This window comes from Homo sapiens, chromosome 11 (assembly GCF_000001405.40).
Source record: "Homo sapiens chromosome 11, GRCh38.p14 Primary Assembly".
In the NCBI taxonomy this organism is placed as follows: domain Eukaryota; kingdom Metazoa; phylum Chordata; class Mammalia; order Primates; family Hominidae; genus Homo; species Homo sapiens.
The window spans coordinates 119800236-119815175 of record NC_000011.10 but is presented as its reverse complement, the minus strand read 5'-3'; the positions used below and the strand labels follow the sequence as shown (position 1 = coordinate 119815175).

The 14940-nt window shown below is 51.5% G+C and overlaps 1 annotated feature.

The window, feature by feature from the left end:
• Positions 4547-5047: an enhancer, noted in NCBI's record as "H3K4me1 hESC enhancer chr11:119680838-119681338 (GRCh37/hg19 assembly coordinates)". NCBI's record gives its function as "activates a minimal SCP1, AML or CMV promoter by ChIP-STARR-seq in naive H9 embryonic stem cells {active_cell/tissue: H9 hESC(naive)}" and the evidence as "EXISTENCE:reporter gene assay evidence [ECO:0000049][PMID:30033119]".

The following is a 14940-nucleotide window of genomic DNA, read 5'->3' as shown; positions in this document are numbered from 1 at the left end:
AGACTTGAAGGAGCACTTCACCAAAGAGGATATTTGAATGGCTAATTAACACAAGGTGCTCAACTTCATTAGCCATCAAAGAAAGGCAAATGAAAACCAAGACACAATATTGCCATACACCCATCATAATGGTTAAAATTTAAAAGGCAGGCAATTCCATGTGTGGTCAAGTAAATAGAGAAATTGGAACTTGTCATTTCTGGTGGGGCTATAAATTAGCACAAGCCATTCAGAAAAGAGTCTATGGGCTGGACACAGTGGTTCACACTTGTAATCACAGCACTTTGGAAGGCCAAGGCAAGAGGATTGCTTGAGCCCAGAGTTTGAGATCAGCCTAGGCAACATAGTGAAACCCTGTCTCTACTAAACATAAAACAAAAATACATGAAGTTCTTGCCCATGCCTATGTCCTGAATGGTATTGCCTAGATTTTCTTCTAGGGTTTTTATGGTTTTAGGTCTAACATTTAAGTCTTTAATCCATCTTGAATTAATTTTTATATAAGGTGTAACGAAGGGATCCAGTTTCAGCTTTCTGCATATGGCTAGCCAGTTTTACCTGCATATTGTGCACATGTACCCTAGAACTTAAAGTATAAAAAAAAAAAAAAAGAAATAGTCAGGCACAGTGGTGCACACACCTGTGGTCTCAGCTACTCAGGAGGCTGAGGTGGGAGGATCACTTGAGCCCAGGAGGTCAAGGCTGCAGTGGGCTGTGATTGCACCACTGCACTCCAGCCTGGGCGACGTGAGACCCCATCTCAGAAAAAAAAAAAAGATAGTTTTGCTGTATATTAGTTATCTATTGCCATGTACCAAATGACCCCAAAACCACATGGCTCAAAACGACAAACATCTATTATCTCACAGTTGCTGTGGGTGAGGAATGCAGCAGGCCAAGCATGGTACCTCTGGTTCGAAGTTTCTCATGAGGTTGCTGTCAAAACTGTGAGCCAGAACTGTGGTCTTATCTGAAGGCACGACTGGGAAAAGGTCAGCTTCTAAGTTCACTCACATAGTTGGTGGGAGGATTCAGTTCCTCTTAAGCTGTTAGCTGGAAGTCTCCCTCAGTTCCTTACTATGTGGGCCTCTCTCTACATGGGGCAGCTCACACTATAGGAGCTGGCTTTCTTCAGAGTGGGCAAGCAAGAGACAGCACACAAGACAGAAGCCACAGCGTTTTCCTAACTAATTTCAGAAGTGACGTCCCATTATTTCTGCCATATTCTATTGTCAGAGATGAGTCAGTAAGTTCAGCCTACACTTGAGGGGAGGAGATTACACAAAGATGTGAAGACAAAAAGGAGAGGCGCACTGGGGGCCATCGTAGAGGCTGCTACCACAGACAACATCTTTAAAGCTGAACACAAGCATATGCTCGACCTAGCAACCCCACTCCGGCAGAACTGAGTGCATATGAGCACCAAAATATTATACAAGAATGTTCATGGCAGCACTATTCATAATAGCCCAACTGGAAACAGTCCAAATACCCATCTACAGAAGAATGGAAAAATAAATTGTGTATAGTCATACAAAGGAATACTACACATCAATGAGAACACGCAAACTACAAGTACATGCAATATAAATAAATCTCAAAAACAGTGTTTAGGGAAATTTTGCCAGACACAAGTGACTACATAGTGTATAGTTTCATTTATATAAAGTTTTTAAAAAGGGGGATAAAATGAAGTTAGAAGTCATAATGGCGGTTGTCCTTGGTGGAGGGAGGTAGACAGGCTAGAAGAAGGCAAAAGGGAATTTCTGAGGTCTAGAGATGTTTCTGTTTGTAGATCAGATGCTGATTTTCCAGGTGTGCTCACCTTGCAAAAATCCATTCAGCTGCACATTTACAAACATGCACCTTCATGTACACGGCCTTCAATTAAAAGCCTCCATTAACAAGAATAATCTGGAGACTTGTTAAGTTCAGATTCTAGAATCACTTATGGCCCCTCTCAAAATCCCAAATCAATGAGTGAAGGTGGGGTAAGTAGAGGTGAATTGTCCCAAAACCTACCTTTGGAACAAGCTACCAAGTGAGTCTCCTTGTTCTGGGTCACACTTGGAGAAACATTGGCAACCCATTTCATTTTTAATAACAATGCAATTCATGTGTATGTAGTGACAGCATGGGAGTGAGGGAATATTGTAGTACAACCATCGTTTCAAATTCTCCCTTTGCCTCTACCTGAGGGTATATAATGTGGGGCCCGAAATCTGTCCACCAGAGGCACCTTTCTTTGGCTCTTTAAAGAGAGTTTTTAAGAGTCAGGTTCCTACTAGAATAGTAGGAATACCATGGGTAAGGAACTTGCCTGTCTTGTTCACTATCGTACCCGACCCAGCAGAGTGTTTCGCTTGCAACAGGTAAATGAATTAGCTGACTCATTGAACGAAACATGAATGTCTGAAAGATTGAAATATGGTTTATCACACATACACACACGCATACACACACATGCACATGGATGTACACACACACACAAACACACTAAGCATGATGCAGAGGATTGTCAAATCCCATGCAGGGAGGACCTGAAGGAAGGATCTTCATTCAGGAGGTTTCATCCCCTCTAGGAGTCTTTCTCCATTTCTTCCCAGGGATGTCCCTAGTCTCCTGGTTGTATGATGATGCCCAAGTATCTCCACCTCTCCTGAATAGTTGTGCTACTCATCACCTCCACCAGATAATATGGTTTTGGTCTCAACCCCCGAGGGTTCAAACTGCCTTCCCATCACCATCAGACTCTGGGGCGGTGGTTATTGCAATGGAGGAGCTATCTCTCAACATCTTCAGATTGGATATTCATACCTGCACAAAACTCATGACAAGGACATCTTTGCAGAACTTCCAGGCTGTGGGTACATAGCCCAGCAGTGCCCCAGCTCTTCTGTGCCTATTCCTACCAAGGCAATTACGGCATTGATTGACAGTGTCCATATCTATATTGTCTCCTATAGGAGACTGCATTCCCCAGGGCTTAGCCCAGTGCCTGGCACCTTGTAGGTACTTCATATATGTTTTTTAATTTGCCTGAATGGAAGGAAGCAAAGCTGAGAGTCCCCACCCTTGCCAGGATAATTTTACTTTCTAGTCTACTGGGCCTGTTCTTGCCTGGACCCTGTCACCACCTCCCTCTCCTCACTGTGCCTCCTCCCCTTCCTGGGCCCCTTTTCTCTGCTCCCATTGAAGCTCAGCACCACTCCCTCCCTTTCCTCACCTTCACCTGGGGACAGTGGCCCCTTTCTCAATATAAGGTAATTCTCGCCTTCATTGTCCTCCACAGCTTGATCACTGGACCAAACTCCCAGCCTTGCCAATCAAGCATCTTCTCCAGGCCTCCTTCCCCAAACCCACCACCACCCTCTCCCTATGGAGAGGCTTCCAAGCTGTGCACAGGGCCTGAGAAGGGAAGCCTCCCCATTCATACCCTCACTCCTACCTTCAGAATGGAAATCATCAGCCCAATTTAGAACCACATGTGGTTAAAAACTTTAGAGAGGGGAGGAGCAGACAGGAAAGATAGCCAAGGGGCATGAAGAAACTTTTGGGGAGTGATGGATGTGTTCAGTATCTTAGTTGTGCTGACACTTCACAACAGTATCCATAAGTCAAAACCTATCCAATTGAACACACTGAGTATGTGCCATGTGCACTATGTCAATTATGCCTCAATAAAACTGTTTTACAAAAACAACCAAAAGAAAAAACAGGAGTAACTTTGGAGAGCATGCAGCCTGGTGTTCCCAAATGGTGTTTCACGTCAGAATTACCCAGGGAGTTCGTTAAGAAGATGCAGATTTACCCACAAAAGAATGGAGTCCAAGTCATTAGGGGTGGAGCCTGGGAATCAAGGTTTTCTCAGCAAACTTCTCAGGTACACCTGATGCACTTAAAACCAATGATCCTCAGTGTGGTCCTGGACAAGCAGCATCAGCATCACTGGGAGCCTTAATAGAAATGCACATCCTTGACCTATTGAGTCAGACACTCTGGGTGGGCCCCAGTAGTCTTTGGGTTAACAAGCCCTCCAGGTGATTCTGAAGCTAGCTACAATTTGAGAACCACTGATTCAGACCAAAGTGTCATTTAATTGATGATGAAAATAAAGTCCAGAAAGAGGAAGTGACTCACACAAGGTCTGTCAGAGGATTCTGAGAGTACAGTCTTGACTTTAAATATCCCATCTCCCTGGCCAGTACTCGCGCTGTGCTTTTCAAGACAAATGGAAAGTTCCAAGAAGCTTTTTAGAAAAAGTATATGACTGGCCCTAGAGTAGGCTGAGCTCTGTCCCCAGGGAGTTACAGAGACTTGGCCATGACGGACCCACCAGGGCAGCAGGTACGGTGAAGGCATGGACAGCCCCTCACTTCCTCATGGGTTCAGTGCTCCTCATAGTGGATACTGAGCACCCCGCTGTGCCTGGCCCATGCTGGGTGCTGAGACGCAGGAGGAATAGGACAGCGCCGTTGTTCTCCGGGGACTCCCCATCCAACAGGGCGTGCAGAGGCCTGCCCAGATCACCACGATAGGCTGACACAAGTAGGGGAGGCTCACCCAGACAGGGCACGACTGTCTGGAAGAGGGGACACCCTGCCCAGCTCACCCCACTTGTAATTCTGCTGTCCCACTCCCCTGGACCCTTCCCTTGCCACCCGTCTCTCTGGCCCCACGTGTTCCCAAACCCAGTCCCCTTCCTTTTCTTCCCATCAGCACAATGAACACAGGCTGCACATTTATATGGAACTTTATAGAGATTAAACAAAGAAGATACCAGAAGTCTGGCTGCCACAGGCCAAATTTCTGATCCTGCCAAGACCAGCAACTCAGTCCCGAGTGCTTCCTTATCCCACAGAACCCAGTTATTCTGCAGCAATTCCTTCCTCTCCATTCTGATGCCCATCCCTTCCTAAAATGTAGCACCAGGCGGACAAGATCTGGGCAAGCGGTGGGTGAGAAATGGGCTTGGACCCCTCAGTCCTCTCCACAATCAGGCCTGGAAGCCCTGACTTCTTGACCCCATTGCCAAGAGCAGATCAAGCTGCTTCTCCTACAAAGGCATTTCCAGGAAACGTTGGTCACAGGACAGCAAGGAGAAGAGCTTCAGGAGAGAGGAGGGCACAGCTGGGTGCAGAATCAGTAGAGGAAGCCCTATGGGGGGATTGAGAAGCTGGAAGACTCTCTCCTTCCATAGCCCCATTTGCAAATCCCCTCACACCCATTATACACAGCAATCCTCACAATGGTCTTTAAAGAGGTAGAAATAGTCTCAAAGGGGTGCGATAGCATGCCTGAGGAGAGGAAATAAATAGACATTGACCTGGGCTTACTGCATTCTGTGGTAGGCAGAAGAAAGTCCCTCCCAAAGCATCCACCTCCTGTTCCCCAGAGCCTGGGAATATGTGACTTTCCACAGCAAAATCGACTTTGCAGATATGATTAAGTTAAGGATCTTGAGATGAGGAGATTATCCTGGATTAGCCAGGTGGACCCAGGGTAGTCACAAGGGCCCTAATAAGTGAAGGAAAGGGTAGGGGGTCAGAATCAAAGTGATGCAGCCTGGGGCGGACTTCACAGGCTTTGAAGAGGGAGGAAGAGGCCACAGGGCCAAGGAACGCAGACTCTGGAAGCTGGCAAAGGCAAGAAACAGACTCCCCTTCAGAGCCTCCGGAAGGAATGCAGCCCCGCCAACACGTTTGTTTGAGCCCAGCGAGGCCCATTTGGACTTCTGACTCCCAGAACTAGAAGATCATAAATGTGCATTGTTTAAGCCACTAAGTTTGTGGTAGTTTGTTGCAGCAGCGAGGGGACACTCATCCAAGTCCCTAACAGAGGGCAAAGAAGTTTGCTGACAACGTCTCCTTGGATGGTCTCAGCAATCCCATGATCTGGTGTTATTTCCCGTTTCACAGATGAAGGCACTGAGGCTCAGAGGGTGGAGTGGCTTGCCCCAGGCCACCCAGCTGCTCTCAGGGCTGGGCTCCTCAGAAGCAGCACTTGAGGCAGAGATTTGGGGGCGTGTGGCTTCTTGAAGGAGCTCTCTTCAGCAAAACCTATAAAGGAGTGAGGGAAGCAGCATATGGAGGCTCAGGGCAGTCAGCCCTTAGCCTGATGCCTGTGTCACTCTGGGGCATTAATCAGCTGAGAAAGTTATCCCCTCTCCAGCAAGGGGCTCAGCCCTTTGTAGCCTCGAGTTGGCCAGTCGTTGGGTGATGGCTGCGGTGAGGAGGGTTTGGAGGTAACCTCCCAGGCTAGCACAGGTCTCTGCACAAGGGGAAGCTGCGGAGGAGCACACCAGCCTGCTAAAGAGGACATGGGCAGGTGACATCGTTCTACACAAGTGTGGTCATGCCTGTGGCCAGGAGTATCTGTGGGATGGTCAGGGAGCAATGTGCCATCAGCATGTCATGGAGCAGTGGCTGGTGCCAGGGACACATGTCCAGGCACTGTGAGGTGCCAGGGAGGGTTTAGGTGCCCCCATGATGCCCAGGCCTCCCTGTCCCAGCAGCATCCTCACTCCACTCACTCCATGAGTAGGAGCTGCCTCCTGGAAAAGGAAGCTGCCATGTCAGCACCTTCTGACAGCAACGCCTCGCCCCGCCTGCCGGCTCCTGAGACCAGAGCCTCAAAGGGTTCCAATCCTCTGAGGAAATTGGATGTTAACAGTGTTCACAGTTCCCTTTCTTCCTTCTCCTCCCCCGCCCCTTCTTTATGAGCCTGTCCCTGCAGCTATTAATATCCAACTTGAACGAAATGGCAACTGTATTTCAATATTTCAACTTTCCCATTTTATTTGCCACAAGCCGGGTTGTTTATCCACAGGCCGTGAGAGGAACGGGCTCTTGCTCCATCCCAGCCCCGTGCTCTGATGGCTGATAATACAGAACATAACGGCCATTACCTGGGCTAGGCGGAAACTGAGTGTTTCCTTTTGTGCATGTTTTCTGTGGTAAGGGCTCCTGCTCCCACCAGGAACCCTCGCACACATGTCACAGGATGGCCTAATGGAGCAGAAATGGGTTATCTGGGGAGGGCTGGCAGTGGCCACAGGGAGTGCCGAGAGGGTCTGCACCTATTGCCACTCCCTGCCACAGGCTGGTGGCCCAGGACCCTCATCAGGATGGGACAAGGGAAGGAGGGTGGAAGGCACCACAGGGGATATGGATGTCAAGGCAAGAGACTGGAACACTGCCCAGAGGATGACCAGGGCCGTTGCACCTGCCATTTGGAGAGGAGTCTGCTGTGCCTGATATCTTCTCAGCCCTTGAGGAGCCTAACAAGAATGCTGGGGCTCACCCCCTTCCACAGGTGGGGAAACTGGTGCCCAGTTAACCTCATCCTTGCCTGTGGACACCGGTGTGTGTCAGTGATGGAGTTCAGGTCTCCTGACTCACAGACTCCCGCAACCTCGGGCTCCAGCTCCCCACTCTAGGATGGAAAAAAGACAAGGCTTCCTGAGGCCAAGCTGCTCTTCCCTTCCAGACCAGCACCCCCAGCCAGGAGCCAACAGCAGCACGTGCTTCCCACCAAGCCCCTTGGCCTCCAAAACCCAGTTTCCTCTGTCACACCAGGTGGCAGGTGAAGGCCAAAGGCTGACTTTAATCCCCCAAAGCCAAATGCCACATGGTTCCTCCCCCAGCCCAGGTGCCCAGCCCCACCAATGCCCCAGACAGTACTGGGGACAAGTTTGTCCCAAAGACAGGCTGACCTCACTCCTGATGGGAAGTTAATCAGGGTCCGATTTGCTTGGGACGAAGGGACCCTAGAAGACAAAACACCCCAGATAGCTCCTGGGCATGGCTAATGGGCTACAGAGCAGTCAGCCAAGTTCAGCCGCATGGTGGGTGGCGCCCCCCTCCCCAGGAGGAGAGCTGGCCATGTAGTTACTAGAAGCTGTTGCTTTTGTGGTGCTCCTGCTGCATGTCATGCGCTGTGCAAGGAGCTGACATGCATCATCTCATGGAAGCAGCACATCAGGTCTATGACAGATCACATGAATGAACAGTCCCCACTTATTAAGGCCTTTTTCTTTATATTGCATCCTCTTAAAAACCTCAAGAGACCATCATGACAGAGAGCATGAGCCTCCTTTTGCTAGAGAGGAGGGTAAGGCCCAGAGAAGTTAGGCAACTTCAGGCTCCCCCAGCTGCTCAGTGTGGGGCTTTGGAAGTCTCCAGCCCCGTAAGAGCCCGAGGCCTGAGCCATTTCCACCGTGGCTCCCACAGAGGGTACCAGAGGCAGGCAGAAGGGCACTTCCATGTCCAGGACAAGTCCACACACTGGGCACTGGTCAGGAAAGCTTCAGGTGCCCACTCCCACTGTCACAGAGAGCAGCCCATGCAGACAGCCAGGCTGACAAGGACACTTTGCCCTGGGAGGAGAAAAGAGCCCCGCCCTGGCCTGCCCAGGACACTGCACTCATGAGCCCACACTGGGAGCACATTTGGCTCTGCAGGAGGCACTCACTGAGCGCCTAGTCCTGCCAGATTCTGTGCTAGTTTAAAGGCACATGGCTAGTAATCAGCAGAGCCTGGCAAAGATGCCCCAGCTCTGCCTCCAGGTCTGGTACTGTTTACAGCCCACTATGTGTTCCCTGTTATACACACTCCCAGAAAGGCATCCATGTGCACACACACTTACACACACACACACATCTACACACACTCCTGCTCCTGTCTGTGCACTGCCACTTTCACATAAGCATGAGTGTGCACACACACACACAGCCTTCCCTAACCAGCCACCCCTAAACTAGGTCAGGCCCTCTAGCCAAAATGAGGAGGAACGGAACAGATGGAGGGATGCAGCGTCTCAGCAACAAAGTTCCAGAAGAAGAGGGCTTAGAGAAGAGACAGGAGAGGGAACTGGGGAGGGTGTCATCTGCCTAGGAAGAGTGGGCACACCTGGGGAGACAGCGGATGCTTTCTGCAGGGAAGCCTGGGTGTGAGTCCGACATTGGAACAGGCTGGACTCAGGCAGCCCTGTGGCACCTTTAGAGATGGCTCAGAGAGGTGGGACCCGGTGGCGATTGGAGGGTTGGCCCCAGGGAATGTTTACAGACCTGCTCTGAGCCTCCTTTCCTCCATCTGTGAAATGGGGGGATGCTGAGAGTCAATCACCTGCCTCTGCTCCCACCCCACCAATCACAGCCAACACAGCTGGGCACGAAATCTGCTGAGCGTTGTTCTCTGCACTTCGCATGAATGACATCATTGATCCTCAAGCCCACCCTAGAAGGTGGATGCGGTGCTATAATCAGGCCCATTTCCAAGTAGAGAATTAAGGCATAGCACTTGCTGAAGATCAGAGTGAGCCAGGCTGAGAAGCCAGGCAGTGGGCCCCGAGGCCTGGGCCCCTCTCACTATCCTACCCACCACCCTACCCCTCTCCTCACGGCACCGAGGCTCAGTGACGGCAGCAGGCATTGGGGTTCACAGTGTAGGGGGAAGAAACCCCAAAAGTCCTCTTGTCCAGAAGTATCTCCCCAGCTGGCTTCCCCCAGGCCTTTAAAACAAATGTAGGCACTATCTCCAGAAGGTCACTGTTAAAAGACAATCGATACCTAAGAAGGCCTTCGCCTGCGAGCTCTTCAGCAGAGATTAGTCATTAGCGTTGGTTAGTTAGAAGGTTGACTTTGATTTTAGACAGAGGCATAGACAGAAATGTGGCCTGGAAGAAGAGCTCAGAACCATTCAAAGCAGAGGAGGACAGGCTGCCAGGGACAGTTGATGGGGGAAGGGCCGAGTCAGGTAAGGTTGGGAGCTCCAGAGACGGCACTGGGTGTCAATCGGGGGGATGTGGTAGGGTACAACACAGCCATTTTCCCACTGTTTTTCTGCAACACAATTCTGTTTTTCCTACATTTTCCCTGGAAGTGAAATACTGATTGAAGAGGAGAGAGCAGCTCTGGCTGATGGAGATGCGGTGGAGGGAACAAAGCCCTAATCACTCAAGCCCCGATTACCCTCCCACGTACGGCATCCCTAGAGCCTTGGGGCCCCCAGAAACCCAGTTTGCAAACCACAAGTCTACTATAAAGAGTAATGGCCCTGGAGTCAGGGTCCTGGGATCCACTTGCTGTGTGACATTGAGCTGGTCCCTTCCCCTCTCTGGGCTTAAGCAATCTTACCTGTAAGTTCTCTAAGGGGCCTCTCCTGGCTATGACAGTCTAGGTAAGTGGGGAGAGAAGTAAAGGAGGTTGGCCAGGAGTGGCCTTTACTGCCGAGTGAGGAGCTGTTTTGAGCCGGGCAGCCCATGAGAGCCGCTGACACACCTCCCTGTCTAGCCTGGCTCTGTGGCCACACTTCCCTTACCCCTGAGTCCTGACCTCAGCACCACACAGGCCTCCATGGACACCTGGAATTGGTGTGCAAGAACCGGATGACAGATGGCAAAAGAAGATGAAGTCTGGTTCCTGGAGTCCCGATTCAAGGGTACTCCTGATCTCCTGACCTCTCCCAAAGTCTCCCCATATCCTTCCAGTCTCTTACTCCTATATTTCCACGTGAAGAGGCCATGGGGTTTGGTGGGTTGCTATCAAGAGGTTGGAGTCAGCAGCCAGAGCTAGAGCCCAGTCCCCACTGCCTGGCTGTGTCTTTGCAGGCCATTAGGAAACATCACATTTTCTGCCCTTAGAAACCCTGTGGGGCCAGGAGAGCAGAGAGGGTTCCTTCCCATGTATATCTAGGATGTGAGGCTCAGTGAGATAAAGTGACTTAGCCGAGGTCACGCAGCTTAACCGTGGTAGAGCCATAACTAGGACCAGGCCTTTCCTGTGGTGTGACTCCTGCAGGGCAGGATTCCCAGCCTGAGAACCTCTCAGCACCAGGGACAGCTTGGGGAGGGAGATGCCCAGACCTCCTTTTGGGGATGTGGTAGAGTGTATACAGAGCCCAGTTAGCAATAGAGGCTGCCTCCAAAGAGGTCATGGGGCAGGGCAGGAGGGCAGCCAAGGCCCCTTCCACCTCTCCTTGCACCTGCTAAGGAAAAGTGGAAGGGGCCGTGGCTCTTCCTTGGGCACACAGCACTGTGGTGGCCACTTGGAAGAGTGACATTTGGCACCTGGCAAGCAAGCCAGCAGGAAGATGGAGCAATGGCTGCAGGTGTGCCAGCAGGACCTAGACACCAACTTGGCAAGGCCGGAAACAGAGCAGTCAGCTCCAAGACAGAAGGCTCTCGACCTTGGGTGGAGGAAGAACTGGAACCCCATACAGAAGCAAACTCAAACAGAAGCCCCCAGCCACGGCCCAGGGCCAGCCCACCTACCCCTCATGCTGCAGGGCTACAGGGAAGGAAAGGTGTTTCTGGAGTCTGCATGGGAGCCCTGGATATAAGGTCTGGGGCAAGACTTTGAAGGAGGAAGGTGACAGGACGAGGACACTGAGCTATCAGAGCCAAGGGGCAGGGCATGCAGCGGAGACTTGCTGTTGGCAGAAGGTCTGAGAAGCAGTCATCGTCCCCCATCTAAGCCTGTGCTCTTATCAGATGCCTCTTCCTCAGGACTGGGCAGCATTCAGGGTCGGGGGGGCACCTCAGGCTCCCATCTGCCACTGGAGAGGCTCCTCAGCAACCCTGCCTGTGTCCTCCCCAGCCCATTCCTCCTGCTCGCCCACTGATTCCATTATTCACTGAGTGAAGAAATCGGCATTGGGGCTCATCTCTCCTCTCAGCAGCTCCCTGCACCTGTCCCTACCCTCTAGTTTGGGGTGGAGGGAAAAACACTGGCAGGGTCCATGTGGTGTTGATTAGAGTATTGATCCTGGCTGCAGCCCTTGCAGTCACCCGCCTGGGCATCCATCAGTGCCAGGTGGGGAGGCCAGAAACTGGCCTCGGGGCTGGGCCCAGGGCCTTGGTCCAGACCGGAGTGTACCCTGGGCTGCTCTCTAGGGTGGGAGTAGGGGCAGGCCAGGGTCAGCCCCTGGTGGTCAGAGGTGTACCCACTTCTAATCCCGCGTCTCTTGCTCCTTTGCTCCATGGTCCATTGATCCATCACTACCTGTATCTGGCCATATGGGCTGATAGCTGCCCCTATCATTTATTAAACACCTCCAGCAGGCTAGGATGGCTCAGGGTTTTAAATTCTCACAGCAATCCATTGAGGTTCTCATTAGCACTCCAATTTTCCACACACAGAAACTGAGGCTCAGAGAAGTCAAGCGAGGTCATGCTGCTGGTCAGGGTTGTGTCCAGGTCCACATGCCACTTTTCCACCAGTCACACTGCTCCCCTAGCAAAGGAGCAGCGACGTGAATTGAGCTGCTAAGTGCCAGGGACACTTTCTCTCACTGAACACACATATTTATCTTGTGATGCAGAGGCTCATTATCCTCATGCTACAGATGACAACACTTCAGTAACTTGTCTGCAGGTTGTACAGCTAGGAAGAGGCAGGACCGGGATTCAAATCCTTATCTGTGGGACTCCGGACCCAAGCCCCTTATGTTTACATGACAATTGCCAGTTCAAGAGCAGTTTCACCTACACTGTCTCATTTTCTCTTCACACTCACCCTGACAGAGAACTGGTTTTTGGTTTTTTTGTTGCTGTTGTTTTTGTTTTTTGAGATGGAGTCTCCCTCTGTCGCCTAGGCTGGAGTGCAATGGCGCCATCTTGGCTCGCTACAACCTCTGCCTCCCGGGTTCAACCGGTTCTTTGGCCTCAGCCTCCCAAGTAGCTGGGACTACAGACACCACCCACCACACCAGGCTAATTTTTGTATTTTTAGTAGAGATGGGGTTTCACCATGTTGGCCAGGCTGGTCTCAAACTCCTGACCTCAGACATTCTGCCTGCCTCAGGCTCCCAAAGTGCTGGGATTACAGGCATGAGCCACCACGCCTGGCAGAGAACTGGTATTTTTATCCCCATTTTATAAATAGGGAAACTGAGGCATGGTATGATTAAGTAGCTGACGATGGCAGAACCAGAACTCCTGGGAATATCTGCTGACTCCTGATGCTTTTATGCCAAACCCAACCCCCAGTGGCCTCTCCTTAGACTAAACTGCTGCTTCCCATCTGCCTGCTGCTCTGCACCTTGTCTGCCATTCATCCAGCCCCTGAAATCTACCCTCCTCCTCCTCCTCCTCCTCCTCCTCCTCCTCCTCCTCCTCCTCCTCCAGGAAGCCCTCCTGAACTTGGCATAACACAGAGTGGCAGCTTCCCTCAGCCTCTCTGCTCCTCTCTGGAGCACAAACCAAGGATGGTACTGGGGCATCTTTCTCTCCATGGATTCAGTTCCTCTCCAGAAGAGAATTAAATGTGCTCAGTTCCACTTCAAAGCCTTCACTCCGGACCTTCTCCCTGCAGGAACACCCTGCCCTCTCCCTCTGCAAGCCTCCCCTCTCCCTACCTGCAATCCCTGCTCAAGTACCCTTCCTCCAGGAATCCACCTAATCCCCATCACTCATGTAATGGCCCACCACTGAGCTCAGGGGCTTTGGCAGTTTGCTTCTCTCAGAACCTCAATTTCCCCACCTGTCATACCCATGCATTTCATTAGAATCACCCAGAAGCTTTGTGAACCATTCAAACACCCGGGTGCCCCTACTGAGATTCTTACCCAGTGGATCTGGAGCACCCCTGGATAGCTCAACTGCTCCCAGCTCCACCTTCTCCCACTTTTAGCTCTCGTCGTGGAAGGCAGGTGGGAAAACAGGCGCCACCATCCTCACACCAGCCCTTGAGTGCTGGCGATGGTGTTAAGGCTGGAAAGCAGCTGTGATTGCAGATTGATCGGTTATGCACTGAGCTGGTTGTTGAGAAGAGAGAAGCAAGTTGTCGATACTGCATTACCCATGGGATGCAGAGCCTCTCCCTTGGGCTACCCAGGAGAGAGGGAGATGCTTCTGTGCTGCCCAAGGTGCTTTTGCAGGGTCTTAGGGGAGCACGTGGATGGGAACCCAAGGCACAGCCCCAGCCTCTGCCTCCCCAGCCCTGGACTTCTTCATTACTCCTCCCTCCTCCAGAACCAACTTGGAGCTCAATGTGGAACAGAAGAACTAAAATAGCACATCATTTAGAAATGTACTTTCGTTTGGTTTATAATTGTATAGTTTGACATGGATCTGGGAGCAAAGAACAGGCCATTTGCCCTCATTGTACTTCATGCGGGCATGTGTTGGCATTTCTCTAGTGCTACCAGGGCAGGGGGCCGGGAGGGCTGGTGGGGTCCAAGGTGTGGTTTTTCTGTGATTAGAACATTTCAGGTCAGGTCTACAGCTCCACACTGAGCCCACATGCTCTGAGGGTCTTCCCTTTCCAGCCCAGCCCTGCACGAGGCTGTGCATTGTGAGGAAAGAAGGACCACATGGGCGCCGGGGCCACTAGCCCTGTGCCACCTGGCCCTGGGGGGAGAAGAGATCACAGCTCTGTGCCCCAGTCTCACATTTCCCTTGGGGTCTGTAGCTGACCCACACTCAGGCTTCATGCTGGGCCTGCTTCACTGTAACTCTGGCCCACGCCCAGCCACATGAGCCTCCCATTGGGTCCCTATAGCTCAGCCACACAGGGGCCCATAGACAAACTCACAACTGAACCACAGGTAGCCAGGTGATTGGATTTACAAACCACAGTGGCTCATTGTCGGGGCTGGGGGTGCCTACAGGGTCTCCCCCTCTGGTCTCCTCTGTTTCCACTTCAGCTGTGGTCATAAGCATTAGAGCCAGGCTGGAATTTGGACCCTGGCTCTCAGTAAGCTACTTCATCACTCTAAAATGCAGTTCCTCCTCTGGAAAGTGGAGACAAAAATACTTACTCATAACAGTGCCATGAGAGCTAAACCCCAAGCACAGGGCTCACACATGACACGCTCAATTAGTGGTGGCTCTTAGGGCCATTCACAAGGCAGGCGCCAGCTCCACCCCTGCCATCAAGGAACACCTTCCAGATACCCAAGCACCTGCAGAGGCAGGCCAAGCTGTCAGTCTTACTCATCA